This window comes from Homo sapiens, chromosome 2 (genome assembly GCF_000001405.40).
Source record: "Homo sapiens chromosome 2, GRCh38.p14 Primary Assembly".
NCBI classification, from domain to species: Eukaryota; Metazoa; Chordata; class Mammalia; order Primates; family Hominidae; genus Homo; species Homo sapiens.
This window is the reverse complement of record NC_000002.12, coordinates 24250877-24278812: the sequence shown is the minus strand read 5'-3', so window position 1 is coordinate 24278812 and position 27936 is coordinate 24250877. Positions and strand designations below refer to the sequence as shown.

The 27936-nt window shown below is 37.1% G+C and overlaps 1 protein-coding gene and 1 non-coding gene across 29 annotated transcripts in view, besides 1 other annotated feature; both read left to right on the top strand.

Annotated features, from left to right (window-relative positions):
* The window catches only part of ITSN2 (intersectin 2), a 158505-nt gene that overhangs the window by 82556 nt on the left and 48013 nt on the right, over positions 1-27936 (top strand). For 18 of the 28 annotated variants that reach the window (XM_047444586.1, XM_047444582.1, NM_019595.4 and 15 more), the window contains 8 exons: positions 2964-3100; positions 6872-7047; positions 8045-8142; positions 17071-17252; positions 17563-17707; positions 20720-20925; positions 24382-24446; positions 26302-26468. In XM_047444586.1, coding sequence (XP_047300542.1) covers positions 2964-3100; positions 6872-7047; positions 8045-8142; positions 17071-17252; positions 17563-17707; positions 20720-20925; positions 24382-24446; positions 26302-26468 — 1176 coding nt within the window. The other 10 variants (NM_001348182.2, XM_024452933.2, XM_047444590.1 and 7 more) reach the window with 5 other exon arrangements.
* LOC124900541 (small Cajal body-specific RNA 21) lies at positions 5072-5199 on the top strand. Its single transcript, XR_007088732.1, has one exon.
* Positions 24908-26107: an enhancer, noted in NCBI's record as "BRD4-independent group 4 enhancer chr2:24475575-24476774 (GRCh37/hg19 assembly coordinates)". NCBI's record gives its function as "activates an origin of replication core promoter dependent on BRD2, P300/CBP, MED14 and CDK7 cofactors, and independent of BRD4, by STARR-seq in HCT116 cells {active_cell/tissue: HCT116}" and the evidence as "EXISTENCE:reporter gene assay evidence [ECO:0000049][PMID:35650434]".

Genomic DNA, 27936 nt, shown 5'->3' with positions numbered 1-27936 from the left:
GGGCGTGGTGGCATGAGCCTGTAATCCCAGCTACTCAAGAGGCTGAGGCAGGAGAATTGCTTGAACCCGGGAGGCGGAGGTTGCAGTGAGCTGAGATCGCGCCACTGCACTCCAGCCTGGGCGACAGAGCGAGGCTCCATCTCAAAAAAAAAAAAAAAAAAAAAAAAGATTGAGAACAACTCTTAATGAATTCTGATTGGTTTATTTTTTTCTTGCTTAACTATTATGTGTAGCAAGGACCTCCTGGAAGTAGTGACTTAACCCAGAGGAATAGGTCTAAGGATAGGAATTTTTACATCACCATAGTCAAATAGAGGAAATACTTGGCAAGCTTTGTGGTGCTCTTTAAATCTTACTAATTTGCATAGACTATTGTTTATGCATTTTTCATTTGTCCAATAAATATTTATTAAATATCCATGTTGTACTAGACTCTCTGTTGGCTGGAGACACCTTGATGAAAGACAGTCTTGTCAAGAAACTCACTTCAGTGGAGGAGGCAATCATATAGTTGGAAGAGAAGACACTATGATAGAGGAATATACAGAATGGCACAAGGAAGCTCATTAACTCTGACACTGCAGGGAATAGGGTTAGTAAAGGAATACTTAGAGCTCTATTTTAAAGGACAAGTTGGAGGGCTAAGCCTGCAGCCTTGTTGAGATCAGACATTAATTTGGCTCCTTTTTACTCTCCTTTTAGACTGAGTACTCTCCTCATTTTTGACTTCATCCAATAATAATAACTAAGATTTACTGAGAACCTAGGTGCTCTGCACTATAATAAGCACTTTATATGTATTAACTCATTTTATCCTCACAACAACTCTGTGAGGCACGTATCATAACAGGCTTCCCCAACCCGTGGTCCACAGGCCACATGCGGCCCAGGACAGCTTTGAATGCAGCCCTACACAAATTTGTAAACTTTCTTAAAACATTATGAGATTTGTTTTTGCAATTTTATTTATTTATGTATTTATTTTTAGCTCATCAGCTATTGTTAGTGTATTTTACATGTGGCACAAGACAATTTTCCCTCTTTCCATGTGGCCCAGGGAAGCTAAAAGATTGGACACCCTTGTACCATAATTAACCTCATTTTACTGATGAGGAAACTATAAAATAACTTTCCTAAGGTTATACAGCTAGTATACAGAGCCTGAGTCAAGCCTTGTTAGTCTTATTCCAGACCCATGCTCCTCATCACTAAACCACCTTGCTTCTCTATATATTGTAACCACTATATTCTTCTGCTTTTCAATAGAATTTAGAGAAAGGTACAACAAATAAAACCCTAGAAGCTGAGAGCTGTGGAAATTCTGCTATAAAAGCAGTATGCATTACTATTGGCTTAAGTTGTAAATGTTTTGCTCAGACATGTTGGACATAGTCTCTGGACAGCATGCTGTACTTAGATCAAATCTACTATTTCAATCAAGTAAAAGGTTCACTTATAAAATAGTTATCTCTGAAAAGAAATGGAGTTTGGAGTTGTGTTATTGTGTATAGGTTGATACCAAAAAACATTTTTTACCAAAACATTCTACCCAAATATTGTCCAGCTCTCACCTTTGCCATGAAGTTTCTTTTGATTACTCTTAAGTCCCCCCGCCCCCACTTCTTTCCTCCAGCCTCCTTTTTCTACTCTCTCGTTCAGGATTCTGTAGATTCCAAATGAAAGAAATCTAGTTCAAAATAGTTAAGCTAATGAGTGATTATTAGAAGCATCCTAGGACCACTAACTGAATCCATGGAAGGGCTGCTGGACAGGGGCAGTTCCTAGGTCTCCGAGCCATGATATTGAACATTCAGCTTCTATAGTACCCTTTCTCTCCAGCTCAGTCTCTAATCTGTACTTCTCTTTTTTCTGAGTTGATTTTATTCCTATCCCCAGGTCTTATTTGGTTGTGAGGCAGCTCCAGGTTTACTTTATCCCAGTTTAATGAGCTGCAGAAAGGTTTCTTTCTCCCCACTTCAACATATGTGAATCCCAGGAAAATATTCTGGGCCAGCTTGGATTATGCTTATGTCCTTTGGACCAGTCGTTTCTGAGCAGGGAAGTAAGGTGCTGTGATTGTTTAGGTCAGGAGTAAACAATTGTGCCTGATGGGAATGGGAGGAGCTCTGAGTTTGGCAGACCTTTTAAAACCACGTAAGATGTTGGGAGGAAGGTGGAAAGATCAGTTTCCTAGAGGAAGGCAGGGTGCTGTTGAAGAAGAGGAAGAGAAAATGCTGAACAGATAATCACAAGTTCCTGCTAAGGAATTTACCTCTGCCCTGCATGTTGACACTTGCCTCTACATTGAGATTGTGAACTCTTTAAAGACAAAGTCTGTAGACGTGGGAGTCAGCCTTGTATTGGATCCTCTTGGAACGCTTTATAGCACTTAGCATACAACTAGATGTTCAATAAGCAGTTGTTTATTTCAACTCCTGTTTGGAATGCTTTTCATTATTTTGGCTCATGGTGGTCATGATTTTAGGCAGACATCTTTTCCATTTTTAGTTTTGAACTAAATTATTTAATAATTCTGTGTTTAGTTCAAGATGATATTGGATAAAAATAACTTGGTTAAATTACATATGTCAAAAACATGACTGAACAAAATTTCTCTTCAGATGTTATAACAAGCAAATTATTCCCCCATATTTTTAATGGATTGCTTTTTTTAATTGAAAATGATGTACCAAATCAAAGCATCGGCTTGTTAAAGATTCTGTGTTCCGTAGAAATGAACTGATGGAAAAGTAGATTATTTTAATGTGTTTATCTCAGGAGCTATATGGTTTAAATACTTAAGGTTTTTTTTATCATCTAGATATTTTTTAAAACTTTAAATATTTTAAATTTAGTTCAACTTGCTATAGGATTTTTATCTTTTAATGCAAATGCCACATTAATACATATGACAAGCATATTTAAATCATTCACGTATTGACTTATTTTCTTTTTCTCCTTAGGAACTGAGAGAAACCTACAACACACAGCAGTTAGCCCTTGAACAGCTTTATAAGATCAAACGTGACAAGTTGAAGGAAATTGAAAGGAAAAGATTAGAACTAATGCAGAAAAAGAAACTAGAAGATGAGGCTGCAAGGTAATATAGCTGATATATTTATTGTGCTATATTGCCATTAGAATTGTAATTTTGTTGCTCATATCTTTAGTTTATGAAAATTTAAGGAAAATAAAGGGATTATCCTAATCAGATTCTGGATCTCATAAGTTCAGTCCTTTTAGGGATCAAGTTTGCAGTAACTGATTTTATTTTCTACTAGTGAAAAATAACAGACTTTGGAGTCAAACCTGTATTAGAATTCTTGCTCTTCCACTTACTACCTGGGTGACCTTGGTTAAGTTATTTTTATCTTTCTGAACCTCAGTTACTCCATCTGAAAATAGAGACAATAATGCATATCTCATAGGTAAATGTATTAAATAAAATAATACAGCTGGAACTGGGCGTGGTGACACACGCCTGTAGTCCCAAGCTATTTGGGAGGCTGAGGCAGGATGATGAGTTGAGCCCAGGAGTTCAAGGCCAGCCTGGGCAACATAGCAAGACCTTGTCTCTTAAGTTAAAAAATAAAATAATGTAGCTAAAGAGCCAAGTATAATTTGTTGCACATAGTAAACACTCATTCATTCCATCTTTCCTTGGTAAATCTATTAGTTTCCTGAAAGATCATAAAAGCAGAATACTTAATTGTATATAGTAATACTGAATGTAGAATGCCACATTGATGCATTTCTCTTTTTATCACTTGAGATATATTAATTGCCTCCATTTATAGTAAGGAGAAGTAAGACATTTGTGGTATCTGAAGCCTAGAATTATTCATTTAGAAACTTTGCATGGTATTTTTCTGCCATTGAGATTCTTTTTCTAATACATTCTTCTCTTTCTTCCAAGTTTTCTAGTATCAGAAAGTAGTATAATTAGTTAACAAATATGGATGAACCAGTATTTTTTTGCCTTGGTAAAGAGTAGATGAGTAATTTCTATGAAAAAGCTAATAGTTACTAGGGAGGCAAGGAAGACACATTACCATTTGGCAGGCCTCTATTCTTAATGGTTTCAAAGTAGCCACCTCCAACACATTTTTTTGAGTGGCTATTGTTGGCTGTGATGCTGGTAGACTTTGGATTACTCCTCATAATTCTAATAGGAGATTCAGACAGTTAAACGAATAACTATAATATTGTTTACTCCTAGACCCCCATTTCTTTATTTTGAGACAGGGTCCTTGCTCTGCCACCGAGGCTGGATTGCAGTGGTATGATCAGGGATCACTGCAGCCTCGACCTCCCGGGCTCAAGCAATCCTCCTGCCTAAGCTCCCACTGAGTAACTGGGAATATAGGCATGTACCACCACTCCCTGCTAATTTTTTTTGAATTTTAATAGGGATGAGGCCTCTCTGTGTTGCTCAGGCCGGTCTCAAACTCCTGGGCTCAAGCGATCTGCCCACCTTGGCCTTCTAAAGTGCTGGGATTATAGGCATGAGCCACTGCGCCTGGTGATCTAGACCCCTGTTTTTGTGGCCTCCTAACGAGATAATAGAATAATATAGAAGTAGAGAAAGTAAAGTTCAAACGAAGTAGCTCTTACAGCTCTTATTTACTGCTTAACTTGTACCACTTAATTACATAAGGGAGCTGTGCAGTGGTTCCACAGCTAATCCTTATGTCAGAACTTTCTATTGACATATGCAGTTACCTTAATCTTTCTTCATCGTGTTCACAATTCCTTTCAGGCCAAAAGATTATACTAGTTATATGCGTTTAATTTCATTCATCATCCTTGCACATTAGGTAGTAGAGAAGAGAAATCAAAGAGAGCGGAAGTGCATATAGGACCTACTCAGTCTGAAGCTGGGTCTTAGTACCACATCTTGGATTGATTGGCCATTTGCCCAGGTATATTCCCTTCTTTTCCCCAAGGTATTGGTAATAGGTTTTCACATTTTAGTTGTGGCCTCTTTGCCCTTTGCCCAGCTTCTGAGGCATCCTGTGGCACTGGACCGGTTTCTCAACTACTAACTCTTACATAAAGTTTACCAGAATTCTGGCATGATTTCCTGCAGGTTGAGCTCAGCCAAGTACCACCCCTCAGTAAGCCTAGAGTAGAGGGGCCTGACATCCTTTCCTTAAATTAAACAAGGAGCCTTATCCAGGTTGTCCTAGTCTCATACTTATGTGGCCATGATTACCTGGCAGGAGGAGTTGATGGAAAGAATGAAGAGCTTAAAAAATATATAGAAAATTTTAATTTAATGAGCCCTCTGGTTTTTTTGTTGTGCTAAATATGTGCTAAGTACTCTGATAGTGATATTTATAATGCTATAAAAATTCAAATGAAAGCTAATTGGGTATTAATTACTAGGCTTGGAAAAGTGTCCCGGAAAGTTACAGAGGAACTGAGAAAGGGGATATTAGTTGAAATTAAGTGAGGACTGCAAGAGAAGCATTTTCCTCACAGGAGAACCAGAAGTCCGTTTTGAAAGTTGCCGGAGGAAGCATTCTATGACATGATAGAGGATGAAGGAGGTTTGGAAATTGTTGGAAGGAATCTAGTAAATGGGCTAGTGAACCAGCAGTATGAAGTCTGAAACAGTTGAGAGATAAGGAGAAAGCATTGATGACTAAGGGCCTACAATATTTTGAATTATCCAGGATTTCGAGATTCCTTCAGGAATTAAGGAATAGAGATGTGGAATTATGCCAAGGTTCCCACTTTGGAAGGGTATATATGCTGACAAATCTCAGGAATGTTTCCAGCTGTAATCTTCACTGCCCTGATAGTGCTGAGGCTTGGAGAAGGTGCTAAATTTAAGTGGTGGCAGCTCTACCTCTGAGTAAGGTTGTGAAAATACATGCAAAGGAGAACTATAAGATGCATGAGTTCTAATACTAAAATAATTGATCACAGATCACCTTGACTGGCTGGAAACCAAACTGTAGCTGTGTTAGATTTCATTGAAATGTTTACCAAAGCACGTGGACCTAGAGAGGAGAAATGCTCTATTATCTAAGCAAACAAAAAAGACTTTTTGAAGTAATAATATAAAAAGTAGACTGGGCGCAGTGGCTCATGCCCGTAATCTCAGCACTTTGGAGGCCAAGGAGGGAAGATTACTTGAGGCCAGGAGTTCCAGACCAGACTGGGCAACATAGCAAGACCCTGTCTTTATAAAAAAGAAATTAAAAAGTTGGCTAGGTATAGTGGCATGTGCCTGTAGTGCTAGCTACTTTGGAGGCTGAGGCAGGAGGATCACTTGAGCCCAGGAGATCCAGGCTGCAGTGACCTGTGATTGAACCACTGTACTCTAGCCTGGGCCATAGAGTAAGACCCTCTCTCTTTAAAAAAAAAAAAAAAAAAAAAAGTAGGTTGTTTTTCTAGAAGCATTTCCTATTTCCACAGCAACAATGACTAAACCCCTGAAACAAAGATTAGATAGGACAGTGGGAATAACAGCTGGAAGACAGTTCTTGTCAAATATCTGGAGAGAAAGGAAGGAAACTTAGATGTAATTTTTAGATTTATTTGCTGAATGGTTCCATTTCAACCTTTTTCTTTTTTTCTTGAGTTTGGAGGTTGGTTAGCAGGAGGGAATTTTTGGGTGTGGGAAATTGTCAGTCATACACCCCAGTGCATCCACTAATCAATCCAAAGCTTCCAAAGCTTTTCTTGATTGATTGATTGATTTGTTTTCCTTTCACCTCTGATCTCAGCAGTTTCTCCCCACCCCTGTACTAATACTTCATTGCTAGTTCTTCACCTTGACAGGAACCAGATCTTAGTATGTTTTTATTTAGTGTAAAAAATTTCTAGGACATTATACAAACTCTTTTTCTTTTATGTAAAGGAAAGCAAAGCAAGGAAAAGAAAACTTATGGAAAGAAAATCTTAGAAAGGAGGAAGAAGAAAAACAAAAGCGACTCCAGGAAGAAAAAACACAAGAAAAAATTCAAGAAGAGGAACGGAAAGCTGAGGAGAAACAACGTAAGGATAAGGATACTTTGAAAGCTGAGGAGAAAAAACGTAAGGATAAGGATACTTTGAGACAGTAGAACAAATGCAACAAGAAAAAAATGACCTGATAAGAGACAAAAAAAGGGAAGAAAATTAGAAAGATACTAATTGTAGAGTCAGAAAAAACCTTTTTATAAATTAAACTTGGATAAAAAGCAGTAGGCTTATTAAAACAGACTGAAATCTTAACACAGCAGTAGAAATCTTAGCACAGCAGGAGAAAAGAAGATAGTTACTACTGATTGTGAAAAGACTCAGACATGGTTTTCATAATTGAAGTAAAATAGTTTTAAATATTTTATTCAACCACTATAACTAAGCTATTTATTTTAATGAAACAACAGTAAAATTTTGATACACCTCAGTCCATTTCCACAATACTTTTAGTAGTATTGTATCTCTTTTAGATACATGAACCCTTTGAATCATTATTAATGATACAGTTTGTTGAAATTTTATAAGTTAAAACATTCTAAAGATGAACAAAGTAAACAATTTTATTCTTATCAAATTCAGTATATTTGTGTACTCTTCCACTGTTTTCCTTTTAGAACCATTCTGATAGATGTATAGATTTTTCTTCAGCCATCCCTGTTAACTTGCTATTCTTATCTTTTGAGACCCCCCTTTTTGTCCTTTACTTCCCTGTTATATTCAGACCTCCACAGATCAAACCAAGCCTCTCTTTGCTTGGTCTCCTTCCACTTTGTACAGCTCAGCCTGGCCCCCACTCCTGCACTTTCCTTTCTACCCATGTGTGTGCTTCATCCCGCAAGTCATCTCTTTGTTTTGCTGCCTCCTACCTTACTTAAGATGAGCATCCTTGTTTGCTTTTTTATTAGATGACTAGTCAAGATACTGAAATCCTAGCAAGTCTGTATCAAGTGGATTTTCATTGTAGTATTTGGTGCTTGATTTTTTCTTTTAGGTTTTAGAGCTCTTTATTGAGTCATAGCAAAGATGTATACATGTAAGTTGCAAATAATGACAATTGTCTTCTCTTTAGGTGAGACAGCTAGTGTTTTGGTGAATTATAGAGCATTATACCCCTTTGAAGCAAGGAACCATGATGAGATGAGTTTTAATTCTGGAGATATAATTCAGGTAGGAAATGAATTTTTTTTTTAATCATGAATAACCTAAATACATTGTAATATATTAGTTTCTGTAGTAATGTTGACCATTAATTTCATATATTTACCTTTGTAAAATGTTTCTTAAACATTACCTCATTTGGACTTTACAACATACTTCAGAGCTGCATAGGACAGTTATTATTACTAACTAAGTTCTAGCCAAGGAAGCTTAAACTCACACAAGTTGTAACTGTCAGCATTGCAGTGCCAGAATGGGATGCAGTTATGTGTTTTTTTATTTCCAAATCCAGCGTTGTTTCTGCTATGCCATACAGCAACTGTTAAAAGAATTGAAGGAGTTAGATTCCACAGCCCTAACTGGATACAGGCAATTTGTTCCTTGGAACGAAAGTCTTTATTGTGTTATCACAATCCATATAAAATACATGAATAAGAGAAGATCCCAGGAGTAGTGTTTGATAGAGCCAGTAGGACATAATGGAAAGAGTACAGGCTTTAGAAGCACACAAACTTGGATTTTAGTCTCTGCTTCTGTTTTCTTCTTGTTAAACTAATGTTAACCAGAGTATCTAGCCAGAGTATCTAGCCAGTGCCTCTTTCCCCCGCTCCCCCTGCACTGTCACCAGTTAGTGTGATTTATCAGTTAGGTGGCAAATGTTTAATGATACTAGGGAAAAAAATTTACCAAAACGCTAGCACCCAAGATAAACCCTAAACACACATTCCTGCTCTTGCCATTGCCGCTATTAGTAGTACCGGAGCTGTGCCCGAGCAGGGGGAGAGGTTTGTTCTACAACCAGCCCAAGTCCACTGTCTGCTCTTCCTACCATTCCTCCTCTCCTTGTTGGTGATGGTGTCTGGATGAAGAGATACAACCAATCTCTGGGCGTGTTTGGTCAAGAGTTTACTTATATTTTTGGTTATATTTTTTATTTATTTCAACAAATATTTTTTGAGGGCTGACTATGTTAGACTAGGGATTTAGTGAATAAGACATTATCTCTGCTCTTAACACGCTTGTAGGCTAATGAAAAAGCGTGACAACCTAAAGCAGTAGAGGAAGGAAGGTAAGGAAAAGGTTGTAGACTGCTACCAGCTTTAGCACAGACCTCTCCCATGGTCAGAGAGCCATTCTGGTGGCAGTGACAACAGAAACATAAAGTTAGCTGTGTGTCTTGGGTGCTTGTGTACTCTGCTGAATCATTAACATGAAGTATTAGTCATGAGTTACTACTGTCAGTCATGAGTTGCCTGATTTGAACAAATTGGTTAATGATGGTGTCATTTCCTAAGAGGGAAAATCAGAGGGGGAATATATAAGTAGAATTATGAGTTCAGTTTTGTATGAGTTTCAGATGTCCAGGCAGTAGTAGTTGGATCTCCAGAGTACCTAGAGAGATGTCAGGCAGCGGTCTGGGCTGAGGATGTAAATCTGGATGTCGCCAGTGTGATGTGATGGTGTTGGAAGACATGAGAGTAATGGAGCTCATCCAGGGGAGTAGTAACGTGAGAGAGAAGAGGATTGAGGATGCAGTTCCTGAGAAACATGGACACTGAAGGAATTATTAGAGGAAGTGGAGCCTTAAAAGGAGTGACTAGTAGTAGGAAAAAAAAAAAAACAGGAGAGTTTAATGTTAGGGAACTTTGAGAAGAGTGATCTGCAAGTGAAATAAAACAAGGACTAAAAAAATTATTAGATTAGCAATAGCACAGGTGTTGTTAACTTGAGGACAGCAGTATCAGTTAAGTGGACTAGTAGAGCGAGAAGCCAGATTTCAGTGAGTTGGAATAAATTGGAAGAGAGGAAGAGGAGACAGTGAATATATAAAACTCTTTGAATGAGCTTGGCTTTGAAAGGGAGAAGGAGAGAAGGTAGTAAATAATGAGAAATGTGGGTTGAGGGAAGTTTTTTTTTTTTTTAAAGTTGGCTGAAGCTTGAGCAAGTTTAAATAATAGTAGAAAGGATCTGCAGAGAGGAAACAGGTTAATGATAATGGAAAGAGTATAAATAACTGATAAAGATTGTTTTTTCTTATTAAAGTATAATTTATATATAGCAAAGTGTACAACCATAAGTATACAGCTCAAAGAATGTGTACACATCTGTGTATCTGTGAAGCCCCCCTCAGATCAGTGTGTAGAACGTACAGCATCAGGAAGGCACTTCATGTTCCTTGTCAAACCTCCCTGTTCTGACTAATAGATGGAGATGAGGAAGATTCTTGAAAAGGCTAGAAGGCTGGAATCTGGAGCCCTGGAAGAGAGTGGTAGAAGGATTGAATACCTTATCCTTTGTCATTAGAGGGCAGGAAGAAAGGGTGGGAGGGATTAAAGTAAATTTTGCTGAAGTAGAAGATGAAGTCAGGTCCCAGGACTTCCAAATTCCCGGTAAGATAGGAGGCAAGGTCTGATCAACTTAATGGATGAGGGTGTTACCGGAGGTTTCATTGAAAGTGAAAAGGATTAGAAATTCCACTGAGTCTTGGCCACATTTTCGATGACAAGCTGAAATGTTTTTCTAGCCTTCTAATCTGTTAATGCTATTTTGCTAACATTAATTAATAAGTAGTTAAGAAGAAGTAATAAGTAGTTTTGCTAGGCCTGTGAGAATTTATATAAAATGTTCAGTTTAACTCAGTATGTAAATTAACAACTAAAAATTAATTACAACTATAAATGACAGATGTGAAAGAGATTAAAATTGACCTCTTACTAAAACAACTTGGCCTAACTACAGAATAAATGAACGAGATTTTTCTTCTTGATTAGGTTGAAAACACTAGGAAAAAGTGTATCTAGAAATTAATACTTTTAAAAGCTTTTGGCCAGGTGCAGGTGCACACCCATAATCCCAGCACTTTGAGAGGCCGAGGCAGGAGTATCACGTAGGTACTGGCGTTAGAGACCAGCCTGGGCAACATAGGAAGACCCTGTTTCTACAAAAAGTAAAAAAAAATTAGCGGGGCTTGGTGGTGTGCACCTGTAGTCCCACCTGCTGTGGAGACTGAGGTGGCAGAATCACTTGAGCCCAGGAGGTCAAGGCTACAGTGAGCTGTGATTGCACCACTGCACTCTAGTAGCCTGGGTGACAGAGTAAGACCCTGTCTGAAAAGTCAGCCAGCCAGCCAAGTCCGTCAGTGAAGGGAGGTAGAAAGGAAAGTAGGAAGGGCATGTAAGTAAATGTGGTAAATGTGTGTGTGTGTATGTATGTATGTACATATGTGTACCTATATATAGCCAATACTCATAGCTTACGGTGATTCCTTTCCTTAAGACCATACTTTTTTTTTTTTTTTATACTTTAAGTTCTGGGATACATGTGCAGAACGTGCAGGTTTGTTACATAGGTATACATGTGCCATGGTGGTTTGCTGCACCCATCAACCTGTCATCTACGTTAGGTATTTCTCCTAATGCTTTCCTCCCCTAGTCCCCCACCCCCTGACAGGTCCCGCTGTGTGATGTTCCCCTCCCTGTGTCCATGTGTTCTCATTGTTCAACTCCCACTTGTGAGTGAGAACATGTGGTGTTTGGTTTTCTGTTTCTGTGTTAGTTTGCTGGGAATGATGGTTTTCAGCGTCATCCATGTCCAAGACAATACATTTAAATCAGGTACAATGCTGAGCATTTTGCAGCATTGAAATACTTTGGTTTGTGTAATTCCTCAGGGTTTATTGTATTCTTGTCTGAATTTATATTGCTCTGGCTTAGCTATTTTATTTTATTTATTTATTTATTTTTGAAACTGGGTCTCAATCTGTTACCCAGGCTGGAGTGCAGTGGCGGGATCATGGCTCACTACAGCCTCGACCACCCGAGCTCACGCCATCCTCCCACCTCAACCTCTTGAGTAGTGGAGACTACAGGCACACACCACCACACCTGGCTATTTTTTTTTTTTTTTTTTTTTGTGGAGATGGAGTTTCTCACTATGTTGCCTACGCTTGTCTCAAACTCCTGGCCTCAAGCAACCCTCTTACCTTGGCTTCCCAAAGTGCTGTGATTACAGGCATGAACCACCGTGCCTGGCAGACTTAACTATTTTAAACTAGTCTTAAACTAGATTTACAGGATAATATTTCATAAGTGTTTGCTTTCATTCTAACTATTTTAGAACACCATTTTATGGGAGCTACATTACTGTGACATCATACAGTTTAGCCATAGCAGCTCTGGTTTAGGAGTTTTCTAAATATTTCATTCATGATGTAATAAATAGCCAGACATATAACATTAAAATGAGAATTATTTACCATAAACATAAATGAAGTTGCCCTAATAATCCATTTATTACTAATTAAGCTTTAAGTCTATTGTTAATCAAATTTAGAATAATCCATTCAAGTTAACATTTGTTGAGTTTGTAACCATGTGCCTCTGGTGACATACAAAAATGAATAAGGAGACCACAGTCTAGGAAAAAAAAGAAATGTGTATTACTGTACAAAATATAACATGATAAATTTCAATACTAATTTATATGAGTAAGTACTGTGGGAACCCAGAGAATGAAGGAAAAACAACCAAATAGAATTGGGGAACATTTTTCCCAAGGATAGGATGGAGGAAGGCCTTGAAGGATTATGCCTTATATTTGCTTAGTGCTTTACAGTTTCCAAAGCGCCTTCATAAATATACTCAATTTAATTCTGAAAGATACCCTAGAGGAGGGCAGCACAGGTATTTCCCCCCAAATTTGTAGATGACAAAGCACACAAGATAGCATTCATTATCTTAACGAAGGATAACCAGGTAGCATGGCTAAGACTGAAATGTGGTTCTTTTAACTCTCAAGTCTGTAGTATTTCCTCTAAACCATGTAATATTCTGGGCAGAAGAGAATACCTTAAATAAAAACATTGAGGCTTGCATGTGCCAGGTGTTTTTAAAGAATGTCATATAACTATTTGCCTAGAATATCGAACAAATGGTAAGAGATGAAGCTAGAAAGGTAAGTTGAAACCTGACAAAGAAACTGTAATTTCAGAGTATTCAAATTCTACACTAAGAAGTTTGAACTTTTAAGAGCTTTAAACTAGAGAGACAACATCTGCTAGGAGAAAAATCCTAATGGGTCTAAAGTGGCTTACCATAGAGTAAAAGGCATCAAGATTGGAAAAGGAGAAGACAGACTGTATTGATTTGCAGAAGACATGATAATCTATGTAAAAAGTCCCATAGAATCTATTAAGCTACTAGAACTATTTAAATGAGTTTAGCAAGGTTGCAGAATACAAGATCAATATAACAAAATCAGTTGTAGTTCTGTATAGAAACGATGACTATTCAGAAATTGAAATTTAAAATACCATTTACAATTGCATAAAAATATGAAATACAGATAAAACTGATAAAAGATTTGCAAGACCTGTTTATTGAAAGTTACAAAGTTTTATTGAGAAAAATTGAAGTCCGAAATAAATGGAAAGATATATAGTGTTCATGGATTGGAAGATTCAGTATTGATAAGAAGTCAGTTCTTCTCTTAAGTCCTGTGTAAACAAATTTTTTAGAAAAAGATAAGAAGTCTGTTCTTCTCAAATTCTTACACAGACTCAAAGCAATTTACATCAAAACTTTAACAGGCAGCCAGGTGCTGTGATCCACATCTGTAACCCTAACACTTTGGGAGACCAAAATGGGAAGATTGCGTGAGACCAGGAGTTCGAGATCAACCCGGGCAGCAAAGCAAGACCTCATCTCTACAACAACAACAAAAATCTCAGCAGGCTTTGTTTTTTTTTTTTGTTTCTTTTTGTTTTTGTAGCAAATGACGAGATGATTCAAAAGCAAAACAACTTTGAAAAGGGAACAAAGTTGGAAATCTTTTAGTACCTGAATTTAAGGCTTATTATAAAAGTTACAGCAGTCAAAACAGTTGTGATATTAGCATCTAGACAGGAAAATAGATCAATGGAACAGAGTAGGTAAATAGATTCATGCTACGTGTGTTTGTGTGTGTGTGTGTGTGTGTGTGTGTATAAACAACAGATTTTCGACAGAGGTGCAAAAGCAACTCAGTGGAAAAAGAACAGTCTTTTCAGCAAATGGTATTGGAACAATGGATATTCATATGCAAAAAAATGAATTTCAATTTGTTCCTTGCAACATATACACAGATTAACTCAAAATAGGTAAAATATGATGTCAAATGTGAACCTATAACTGTAGAATTTCTAGAAGAAAACAGAGAAAATCTTAACAACTTCGGGTTACTCAAAGTTTTTCAGTTTCTTAGCTATGACAATCTAATAAATAGTGTTTCTTTCTTTCTTTCTTTTTTTTTTTTGAGACAGAGTTTCGCTCTTGTTGCCCAGGCTGGAGTGCAATGGCGTGATCTTGGCTCACTGCAACCTCCTTCCTGGTTCAAGCGATTCTCCTGCCTCCACCTCCCGAGTAGCTGGGACCACAGGCATGTGCCACCATGCCTGGCTAATTTTGTATTTTTACTAGAGACAGGGTTTTTCCATGTTGGTCAGACTGGTCTCAAACTCCCGACCTCAGGTGATCTGCCCCCCTCGGCCTTCCAAAGTGCTGAGATTACAGGCATGAGCCACCGTGCCCAGCCTAGTGTTTCTTTTTGAGGAAAACAGTTCTGTAAGTTATTGTGGTAATGATTCTGTAACTCTTTGAATATTCTAAAATGCATTTAATTGTGTACTGTAAATGGAAGGATTATGTGGAATGTGAATTATATCTCCATAAGCCATTGTTAAAAAAGTTAAAACATGTACCTACCATGTGACTCAGCCATTCCACTCTTAGGTATTTACACAAGAGAATTGAAAACATATGTCCGTATGAAGACAAATGTTCATAGCAGCTTTATTTGTAATAGCCAAAAACTAGAAAAAACTTTAATGTCTACCAACATTTGAAAGGATAAACAAATTGTGGTATATTCATATGATATAATATTACTTAGCAATAAAAAAAGAACAAACTGTTCTTACTGTATGGATGCCTTGAGTGGAAAAAGGCAGACAAAAAGGATACATATAGTATGATTTTATTTATATACAATTTTAGAAAATGTAAACTAATATATAGGACAGAAAACAGGCCAGTGTTTTCGTAGAGATGGCAGGGAAGGTCATGGGGAGGGGCAAGCTGGAGGACTTATGGTGGAACAAGAGGAAACTTTTGGGGGTGATGGAAGTGTTGGCTATCTTGATTGTGGTGATTTTTCACAGGTATATACATATGTCAAAACATCAAATTTAACACCTTAAACATGAAATTTATATTAATGATATCTGAGAAAGCAGTTTTTAAAAATATGAATGGATTCAACATGATTTTAATAGATATATAACACTGTCAAGTCTGTGTTTTAGAAAGGTATGGAAAATGGATTGGAGAACAGAGACACAACTACCATATTCATTTATTCAGTGAGTTAAGTGATTTCTACTATGCTAGACAGTGGGGGTCAATAAAGCTCACGGACAAATGGAAGAGAGATATGTAAATAAGTCATTATTTACATATAAATAATTTATCTGTAGTAAGTACATATACTTATGTATTAGCTACATAATTAAGTGTCATTATGCATATATAATGTATATAATGCTAATTATGACAGTTATGTATGAAATAACTCTGGCTTGGGTTGGGGGAAGTTAGAATCTTGAAGGATGAGTAAAAATCATAATAATCTTGAGTGTGAAATGAAAAAAAGCCTGAAGTAGGGCAGTGAGGGTGGGTTGACAAATTAGAAGAGTCTTTAATGACAAATTCAGTAGTTTGGATGTGGAAGTGTAAAAGAGGTAAGAGCCAAAGATTTTTTATTTAGAATGACTAAATTTTTGGTGGTGTGAATAATAGAGGAATTTAGGAGAAGGAGGGGATGGAGGAGAAAAGTTCAGTTTTAAAGTTGACTTGGAAGTTCCCATGGGACATCCACTTGAAGATATCTTGCAAGTAGTTGAAAGTATAGGCATGTTGCTTCGGGAAGAAGTCAGCACTGAGATCATAGCTCTTGGATTCATTATTGCACAGAGGACTGATCAAACTATAGGAGTAAGTGGGCTTATTCAGGAAGGGTATAGAATGAGGAAAGAAAGCCAGTGATGAAACTTGAGGCTGTCCTTAGTGTTTAAGGAACAAGGACCAAGAAGCAGAGGGAGAAACACTGTGAGGATGGAGGATGTCACACTGTAGGATGAAAATGTCTGGGAGAAGCAATGAAATTGATAAATCACCTGACATGTTTACCAGTTGGAAAATAGTATTCAGAGAAGATCTTATTGTTCTGTTAGAGAGTTCAAAAAAACTGTGTAACAGGAACAGAAAAAAGTAAGCCAAAAACAAAAAAAGTAATGATTATAGGAGAATAAAAAGTTTACAAAAAAGGAAATTTAATCAGCAGCATGCTGCATGACTCAGATGTGAAATATTTAAACATAATCATAATATTATAAACATTAAATAAATTTAAATAAAGATTAAGCTATAACAGTATTGGTAGAGTAAGAGGCTACAGTGAAAGAGAGGTCAATCTTCATTTCCCATAGCCAAAAGCCAGTAATGTCTAAAATTGAAAAAATTCAAGAAAAAGCAGTATAAATATGTTATTCAGAAATATAAATGGTGATATAGAAGAAACCAGGAAGAATGGCAGGTCAGGAGTGAAAATCAGGGCATAAGGAGCCATGAGATAGGGGAGGATTGTTTTCCCTCATTAGCCATATATAATGAATGCTATTTGTCTTTGTAAAATATTTTCATGTAACTTGGATAAAATTAAAATTAAAAAGACAACTTGCCAGTCACTGGAAATAGTAGCTGTTAATTTGTAGAAAATGCCTTAGCTGTTTAGTTAGATGGGCTTAATTCTGAAAATGAGAATACTATACAATAGTTTTCATCTCTTTCCATTGTAAATGTGTGAATTTCTAAGCACTGTTAATCCTTCTTTTTATTTCCGTAGGTTGATGAAAAAACCGTAGGAGAACCTGGTTGGCTTTATGGTAGTTTTCAAGGAAATTTTGGCTGGTTTCCATGCAATTATGTAGAAAAAATGCCATCAAGTGAAAATGAAAAAGCTGTATCTCCAAAGAAGGCCTTACTTCCTCCTACAGTTTCTTTATCTGCTACCTCAACTTCCTCTGAGTAAGTTTTTAGCTAACAGTAAAGTTTATATAGATCTGCAAATGTGTAAATACCTAATATATAATGGTGTCAGCCTACTACTTCATCATAGTGTAATCCGGGTTGTACTCTTCAAGACTACTTTTTGTTCCAGATTTAATACTGAAATTTAGTAAGTGAAAACATGGGTCAGTAGTTTGTTAATAATTATTTCTTTTCCCACAAATTGTGTGTAAGCACAGTGTATATAATATGTAAGTTGATAAATTGGTAGTACTTCATTAAGTTCTAAACAAATAAATATACTTATATCAAAGTGTTATATTTGCAGACCACTTTCTTCAAATCAACCAGCATCAGTGACTGATTATCAAAATGTATCTTTTTCAAACCTAACTGTAAATACATCATGGCAGAAAAAATCAGCCTTCACTCGAACTGTGTCCCCTGGATCTGTATCACCTATTCATGGACAGGTATGTTGTCTGTTATTTTTGTGGGCTTTATTCTTTGAATTTGCTCCTGATTAAAATAGAATGAAAATTATATACAAAGGACCATTCACTCATTTAACCAGAGTTTGTAGCATTCAGTTTCTTTCTTATTCACATGTGATGTGAAGTTGAAGAAATGACTATTACTTAGAGGTTTCTCAACAATTTTTTTTTTTTTTTTTTTGAGACGGAGCCTCACTCTGTTGCCCAGGCTGGAGTGCAATGGTGCAGTCTCGGCTCACTGCAACCTCCGGCTCCCTGGTTGAAGAGATTCTCCTGACTCAGCCTCCTGAGTAGCTGGGATTACAGGTGCCTGCCACCATGCCTAATTTTTGTATTTTTAGTAGAGACGGGGTTTCACCATGTTAGCCAGGCTGGCCTCGAACTCCTGACCTCAGGTGATCCACCTGCCTTGGCGTCCCAAAATGTTGGGATTACAGGCGTGAGCCACTGCGCCCGGCCTAGGTTTCTCAACAATTCTTTTCCATAATACCAAGTTGCTAGCAGCTAAGGTTTCTAAGCTCAAAATGTTATTTTTACAAATCTCATGATATATTGTTCTTGATTTGTAGTTATTATAATAAGAAGATGAGAGACTTGGGCTTGACGGTTTTTTTTTTTTTTTCTTAAAGTTATTTGGGAACGTTAGAACTTTTTAACGTATATTTAGCCTCTGATTTAGATATAACTATTGCAATAGGGTTACATTAACATTATTTTTTTAAATTGCAGACTTCATCAGAATAAAGTCCAAAGTCCTCCAGATTTCACCTTCACTCAAAAAATGCCATGGCCATAGGTTCCAGGCATTTTATTATGTGCTAGAAATTTAAGGAAAAAATAAGTCAAAAAATACCTGACATTGACACCAGGCACAGTGACTCAGTGCCTATAATCCCAGCTCTTTGGGAGTCCAAGATGGGAGGATTGCTTGAGGCCAGGAGTTCAAGATCAACCTGGGCAATACAGCAAGACCTCATCTCTACAAAAAATTTAAAAATTAGCCGGGCATAGTGGCATGTGCCTGTAGTACTAGCTACTTGGGAGGTTGAGGTGGGAGGATCACTTTAGACCAGGAGTTTGAGGCACAATTAATTATGATCATATCACTGTACTCCAGCCTGGGCAATAGAGTGAGCCCCGTCTCTAAAACAATTTTTAAAAACCAGAAACTCACCATTCAGTAGATCATAATCTAATGAACATGACAGACATATAAATAACTGTAAAGCATGAGAAATGCTGTATTAAAGATATCTACAAGGTCTGTAGGGGGTATATATAGAAGAGATCATCTTACTCAATTGGTGAGAATTGGAGCAGCCTTCACAAAGGGCAAGGTATTTGAGTAGGGTCTTCAAAGATAAGATTTCACCCAACAAAGAAGGAAAGTTATTCCCATGAAAGAACAATTTGGGGAAAGTCACCAAGGCATGTTAACACAAGATATTTGCAGGAAACAAGCATTGTTAATAATATGGCTGGAATACAGGATTCATGGAGAAAGGGTTAAGCGAAGTTGGAGAGAGAGGTTGAGGTTTATTTGGGAAGCATTTAATACCGTGCTAGGCAACTTGGTAGTGGAAAGTCCCTGAGGATTTTTAAGAGTGGAGTTATTGTGTATGTTTTAGAAAGATAATTCTGGCACTAACATAAAGTCTGGATTAGCAGAAGAAAACAACCAGTTAAGGAAGGATATTACAATAGCTAAATAACAAGAGATGATGGTTTGAACAAGTGCTATGGTAATTAAGATATAAGAAAGAGGAGATAGATTTAGAAGATTATTAGGAAATGATATTAAATAGATAATCCATTGAATGTGGAGAGTGAGGAAGAAATAGGAGTTAAAGATAATTCTTCAGTCTTTAGCGTGAGCAACCAAAAGGATAGTAGTATCCTTGTCTTTGGTAGACAGTGCAGGAGGAATGGGTTTGGTAGGTTCTAAAAATGATTATGTTTCAGCCATGCTAAGTTTAAGCTATGTGTATTAGGGACAGCTTGGTAGAAACACCCAGTAGGCAGTTTGATATACAAGTCTGGAGATCAGGAGATAAAATTACACTGAAAATATAGGTTTGAGAAGTCATAGGCATAATTAAGAGTATTTAGGGAAGTCCTGTGGAACAGTAAGGGAAAAGGGTTGGACAAAAGAGGAGCCATCAATCACCAGAGAGTCAGCTTCAGGAACTACAAGGCTTGATGTTAGCTGTTTAGAGATCAAGAGGAATAAGGGTTTGGAAGAAGCATTTGGCTTTGATGTTATTATTAATAACCTTGTCTGGAAGAGGTTCAGTAGTGTGATGAGTGCTGAACCTAAATTAGAAGTGATCAAGGAGTGAAATTGGAAAAAAAGTTTAAGACTATCATTTAAGGAATTCAGAAGTAGAAGCAAGTAGAGAAGTAGATTGAAGAGAAGGACTTAAATATTTTTAGAAAATGAAAGGGTATAATAGAAGACTTGGAGAATAAGTGAAGAGTTTAGCCTTATTAAAGGAACAAAACACTCCTTCCTTTGAGAGAGGAGGGAAAGAAAGAAGAATGAATAGAATAGAATAGGAGGAAGTTAAGAGAAAAGCAGAGAAACAGAGGGAGCCAAGCATGCCAATTTCCTTCCCTAGTGGAGTAAACAGAATTACATTGCAAGCTGGAAGAGAAAAAAGATTTACAGTAACATTCCTTTTTCATTTGTTCCATGATATGTATTTCATGGATGTGTGAATACATTTCTTGAGTACACATTATTTACCTTCTCTACCAGTGATGTGATGAGGTTTCTTTGAATGGTGGGTTTTCAGTCTGTCTTAACAGAAGGCTAGTCACATAGTTGTCTATCATGTATAATTTAAAGTCAGTTAGTAGACTAAGGTTATCTTAAGTCACCACGACACAAAACTGGTCTGCTGTTTGAACAGTAAGTATGTTATATACACAGAAACAGAAATCATAGTTACCATTGCCTTTTAAAAATTTTTGGTGGTTTTGTATTCATAGGGACAAGTGGTAGAAAACTTAAAAGCACAGGCCCTTTGTTCCTGGACTGCAAAGAAAGATAACCACTTGAACTTCTCAAAACATGACATTATTACTGTCTTGGAGCAGCAAGAAAATTGGTGGTTTGGGGAGGTGCATGGAGGAAGAGGATGGTTTCCCAAATCTTATGTCAAGATCATTCCTGGGAGTGAAGTAAAACGGGAAGAGTAAGCATCTTTATGTGTTTTCATGAGATGTGGATGTTGGTATTTTCACTAATGAGTCAGCCATGGTCTGATTGAGTGTATAATAAAATAACAATTTTATACTTGAGTTTGAATATCAGAAAGGTAATTCTGGCCGGCCGTGGTGGCTCACACCTGTAATCCCAGCATTTTGGGAAGCCAAGGCAGGCAGATCACTTGAGCCCAGGGGTTTGAGACCAGCCTGGGTGACGTGGTGAAACCCTGTCTCTACAAAAAATACAAAAATTAGCCGGGCATGGTGGTACATGCCTGTAGTCCCAGCTACTTGGGAGGCTAAGGCAGGAGAATCTCTTGAGCCCAGGAGGCAGAGGTTGCAGTGAGCCAAGATGACGCCATTGCACTCTAGCCTGGGTGACAGAGTGATACCCCGTATTAAAAAAAAAAAGAAAAAAGAAAGGTAATTCTTAGGATGAAAAAAGCATACCTCAGGTATTTGTTTCAGTTTAGAATATCTTTCATTCTAGTTATTTCAGATTTCATAAAATTTTCAAGCTACTCAAAATTATAGATCTGTTGCTTTTTTTGTTTTTGAGACAGGGTCTCACTCTGTTGCCTAGGCTAGAGTGCAGTGGTGGATCATGGCTCACTGCAGCCTCGACCACCCAGCCTTAAGCGATCCTCCCACCTCAGCTTCCCGGCTAGCTGGGACCACAGGTGCACGCTACCATGCCTGGCTTATTTTTAAATTATTTGTAGAGGTGGGGTTTTGCTGTGTTACCCCAGGCTGTGTTCTCAAACTCCTGGGCTCAAGCGATCTTCCTGCCTCCACCTCCCAAAGTGCTGGAATTACAGGTGTGAGCCACCTCACCTGGCCACTTCTTTGTACCATAAATCAGTTAGAAAAGTTACTTTTCATTTTCTTTCAAGCATTTCTCCCCTGTTTACTATAAATTGTCAATATTTAAGTAACTCTTTACTGAGGGCCTCCTCTTTGCCAAATTGGGGCATTCCCATTTCTGAGTCTCCAAGATTCCCTGAATATAACTTCTCTTATTGCTTATAGCACTCTGCATTATAGTTACTGATTTTTTTAAACCAATGTCCCTTATTAGATCATAAGCTCAATGAGGCTGGGATGCATGTCTTTTTTTTTATTTGTTCATTTTTCAGTTTCTTCATGCCTGTTCTAATCCTCATGCATAGTAGCTGCTCAATCATATTAGCTGAGTGAATGAAGAGAGGCGTGAATGAATGAACAATTGAATGAATTTTCAAATGAAAAAAGCTAAAAACTAGATAGGTCTCTGACCTTTATTTCCTACTCTGTAGGGAGTCAAGTTGTCGAATATAATAATACAAGGAAATAAGTACTATAATATAGCTATGGGTAACTGTCTCTTGTGTTTTATATGGAAGTTGGTAGAAAAGCAGTCTGATTTGATGAAAAGATGCTGGTCTTTTGCAATCAAGAGGCTTGAGTTTTGGCTCTGCTATTTTTGCCAGGCTGTAAGGAATAACCTACTTAATCTTCAGTTTTCTAATTGACTGAATGAAAAGGTTAAGCCAAATAATCTTTAAAGACCCTTTCACTGCTGAGTTTCTGTGTTTCTGGAAGGTAGTGCTGTTTCTAAAAATTTGCTTTTCAGCCTGACATGGAATTTTGGATTGATTGATTGATTGATTTTGAGATGGAGTCTCGCTCTTTCGGCCAGGCTGGAGCGCAGTGGCGCAATCATGGCTCACTGCAACCTCCACCTCCTGGGTTTAAGCAATTCTCCTGCCTCAGCCTCCCAAGTAGCTGGGATTACAGGCATCCACCACCATGCCCGGCTAATTTTTGTTTTTTTTTGTTTTTGAGATGGAATTTCGCTTTTGTTGCCCAGGCTGGAGTGCAATGGCCCGATCTCAGCTCACCACAACCTCCACCTCCCGGGTTCAAGCGATTCTCCTGCCTCAGCCTCCTGAGTAGCTGGGATTACTGGCATGTGCAACCATGCCCGGCTAAATTTTTTTGTATTTTTAGCAGAGACGGGGTTTCTCCATGTTGGTCAGGCTGGTCTCAAACTCCCGACCTCAGGTGATCTGCCTGCCTTGGCCTCCCAAAGTGCTGGGATTACAGGCATGAGCCTAATTTTTGTATTTTTAGTAGAGACAGGGTTTCACTACGTTGGCCAGGCTGGTCTCGAACTCCTGACCTCAGGTGATCTGCCTGCCTTGGCCTCCCAAAGTGCTAGGATTACAGGCGTGAGCCACCATGCCCAGCCCTTTTTATTTATTTTTCAAGACAGAGTCTCACTCTGTAGCCCAGGCTGGAATGCAGTGGCACAATCTCAGCTCACTGCAACTTCTACCTCCTGTGTTCAAGCGATTCTCCTGCTTCAACCTCCCAAGTAACTGGGATTACAGGAATGCACCACCACACCGGGCTAATTTTTGTATTTTAGTAGAGACAAGGTTTTGCCATGTTGGCCAGGCTGGTCTCAAACTCCTGACCTCAGTTGATCTGCCCGCCTCGGTCTCCCAAAGTGCTGGGATTACAGGTGTTTGCCACCACACCTGGCCGAATTTTGGATTTAGAAGAATATAATAACAGTAACAACAACCATATATAGCTGGCATTTGTATGCATGCACTGTGCTAGGCCCTTTATAGACAATTCCTTTATAGAAATTGTCTTATTTTATGTCCATAACATTTACAGAGAAGAAAACTTAAGCAAAAACAGATTGTTTCAGTGTTTTAGAGGGCATTTCTTCTAACTATGCATTCAGTTACTAGTGTTTTCTAACAGATAAGGCATATAACTTGAAAACCTGCAGTAATGGAGAATTTAGCATTAAACAAGACAGTCCATTCAGTTGTGACCAGTAGTTGTAATAAGGTTCCCCTTCTGTTTATTTAAAAACTGCCTCACAGTGTAATTTACTCACAGGTCCTAGGGAGGCCTGGTGCATCCCACAGGTGTCTAGTTAAACAGGACAGTCTTCTAGATTTTTGAAAACAGATTCCTGGGTTAAAATGGAAATTAATGTTATAGCTGTTCTGAGATAATAAAAACAAAGTTTTATTATTTTTATTTTTTTAATGTAGTGCATTCTAAACAAATAATAAAATGTATATATTGCCTTTATTTTTTCCTACACTAAACTAAGCCCTATATGTGCTTACCACTTAACAATTTGTGGGTGTCTTTTAAGTTTCTTTAGAAAGGCGAAATATCTCACATTTGAAAAACTATTTGTAAATCATATTGAAATTTTAAAAATATATTTAAAAATGTAGAAGTTTATAATTAGGCTGTTCTTAATCCTGCAGGATGTTGTGTATAAGTCTTCCCAGTTCTGTGTACTAAGACTATATTTAATTTGAGAAAGCCCTAAAAAATGCACTACTAAAACCTGCTGTGCATCAAATCACCTTTCTTATTTTTGCTTGTATTTGTTTGTTTGTTTGTTTGTTTGTTTATATATTTGGTAGACCAGAAGCTTTGTATGCAGCTGTAAATAAGAAACCTACCTCGGCAGCCTATTCAGTTGGAGAAGGTAAGCTTTTGGCAATTTGTAAATTAGATGGTAATCAATTTAGCTCTTGACTAACTACCTGACTTCACATAGTTGCTGTTCTTCACATAGTTGCATATTCTCCCCATTTCTGTGTCTGCAGTATTAAAGTGAGATTAGGAAAACCTGCCCCTATCTATTTCACATGAATATTGAGAATATAGAAAAAATATGGGTGAAAATACTTGGCACTTTAGAAAGGCAGTGCTATGAAAATTCAGCATAGACTGGTTTGATGAATAACATCATAAATAAAAAGTGTTGCAATTATTGATTATAGATGTTTAGGAGGTAAGGAAATTTCAATACATTTCATTGCTTATACATTTTAATTACAATGTACCATATGAATCATTAAGGAGGACCAAGGTATACTTTATCATAAGTATTGCAAAGAATTTTTTTCTATATCCCTTTGGGTTGTTTGATTAGTAAATTATTTTGATTTTGTTAATGTGTTGAAAAATGAAAGATTACCCTAATTTCAGAGGATATTTTTATTTAATAGTTACATACATTTATAAATGAAATGTATAAGTCCATTATAAAGTTAGTTGAATAGTTGAGGTACATTTTATGTTTTGCTAAAAATATCAGTTTAATGTTAAACAATTTATTCAGTATCTGTTACGTTGAAGATTCTATGCTAGAGCCTGGAAAATACAAGGATGAATAAAAGTTTCCAAAGTGCTCACAATAGAATGGAGCATACAGTTGTGATAAATTCTTTAATGAGCGAACAAAACCAATTTAGAGTAGGACATATGAATCCACAGAGATGGCAGTGTTGCATCATCCTAAACAATGAGTAGGATCTAGCAGAGTGACAAAGGATGAGAATGCACTTCTAGACAGAGGGAATGGCATGAGCCAAGGAACGGGGGAACGTCATGTCACCAGTGAAGCTGAATCATAGGTGTACTGTGGAATGAGTGCTCTGAGCTGAGCCTAGGAAAGTAGTGAGGAGCATGTTGGAAAGGACCCGACTTTTATTGCAGCGTACCTAAACCTTGTAATCACTTTGAATTTTGTTAAATTAATTGAGTAATACTGGGAATGCGAATAGTAAATAGGTTGTAGGTGGTGTTTCTCATCGTCTCAAGTTTATGATATTAAGATCAAATTCCATGTTGGCCAAATATAAATAAAACTAGAAAGAAAGAAAAAGACTTAGAAAACCAAGTCACCAACTGTTTCTTCTAAGCAGTGACAATCACAGAAACAAAAATCAAAGGCGATATAAAAATTTAGATATTTCCCTTGAGGTCATTTGTTAACAACTATTTATCGAGCGTCTACTCCAAGTCAAGCACTGTGCTAGGAGCTGGGTCATCAGGATGGAGCTTGGCTTCTAGTGCTGCTGTCTTCTGGGTATTGAGTGTTTCCATAACTGTGTACTTAAAAGAATTAAAGAGAAAATAATATAGCAGATTAAACTATTTCTGGTATAAAAAAGTTAAAAAATATATTTTCCTATCTTGACTCCATTATCTGAATAACTGAGTGACTTAATCTCACTAAGCCTCAGTGTATTTATCTATAGAGATACTATTATCTGTTTGTAGTTTTGGGTAATTCTTTGTGATAAAAAAATAAACAATTGGGAATAAAAGAAACTCTAAAGTTTTATGTTAAGTCAAATAACTTTTTTCTAAGGAATTATTAAATAATTGCTTCGTTCCTTTTTCTACCTTTAGATCTTTTTATGTTAGGTTTCCTGAAGGCACAAGGTCTTTTACAGCAAACTTATACAATGTCTTGGAGAATAACCTAATTTCTTTTTCACTTCTGTAATCTTAAAACCAGAATCTACTTCTTTTTGCTTTGTTCCCTACAGAATATATTGCACTTTATCCATATTCAAGTGTGGAACCTGGAGATTTGACTTTCACAGAAGGTGAAGAAATATTGGTGACCCAGAAAGATGGAGAGTGGTGGACAGGAAGTATTGGAGATAGAAGTGGAATTTTTCCATCAAACTATGTCAAACCAAAGGATCAAGAGGTATTTTGATATTAAAATCAACCCATTCTGGTTAATCAGGTTTATACTTAAATTATTTTGGTATTAAAAATAAAATCAACCCATTCTTGTTAATCAAGATTTATACTTAGAGATCATGTTTATGGTTTTGATCAGGTTGCTTTGGTTACAAAGAAACTGTTCACAGTAGCTCCGGTAAAATAGGGTTTATTATATGGCTCCAGTTAGATAAAGGGGGCAAGATTTCATGAAATTCTAAGAACAAGAGTTGTAGGGTAGGGTTGAGCTTCATGATAACTGCTAGGAAGTAGATCTGGATTCAGAGAAACACAAAAAGGACCACCTTGAAGTAGTTCGCCAATTTTCACTTTAAGACTGTAACATTAATGTGACTCAGCTTACATGAGCTCCTGCCTCATTTCATCCACCACCAGTATGGTATAGTGCAGAAGTTCTCTTTTTGGTTTCAGGAACTTTACAGTCTTAAAAATTATTGAGGAACCCCATAGGCTTTTTTAAAGTATGTTCAGTATAGCTAATGATATTTACCGTATCAGAAATTTGAAAAGCGAAATTATATATTTATTCATTTTAAAATAACAATAATTAAATCCATTACATGGTAACATAAATAACGTGCTTTTATGAAAAACAGCCGTATTTATCATGAAAACAAAGTTTAGCAAGACACACACACGTATATATACGTATACATACATATGTATGTGTATATGTATATGTGTGTGTGTATATATATATACACATATATATACACATATATATACACATATATATACACATATATATACACATATATATACACATATATATACACATATATATACACATATATATACACATATATATACACATATATATACACATATATATACACATATATATACACATATATACACATATATATACACACATATATATACACATATATATACACACATATATATATACACATATATATACACATACATATATACACACACACACACACACACACACATATATATATATATATATATTTTATTTTTTTTTTTTTTTGAGATGGAGTTTAGTTCTGTTGCCCAAGCTGGATCTCGGCTCACTACAGCTCCGCCTCCCAGGTTCAAGCAATTCTCGTGCCTTAGCCCCTTGAATAGCTGGGATTACAGCCATCCGCTACCATGCCTGGCTAATTTTTGTATTTTTAGTGGAGGCGGGGTTTTACCATGTTGGTCAGGCTGGTCTTGAACTCCCAACCTCAAGTGATCTGCCTGCCTCAGCCTCCCAAAGTGCTGGGATTACAGGCATGAGCCACCACACCCAGCTAATTTTTGTATTTTCAGTAGAGACGGGGTTTCACCATATTGGCCAGGCTGGTCTTGAACTCCTGACCTCCAGTGATCCACCTGCCTTGGCCTCCCAAAGTGCTGGGATTACAGGCTGTTTTATATTTTTGCAAATCTCTTTAGTCTGACTTAATTAAGTCAGCTAC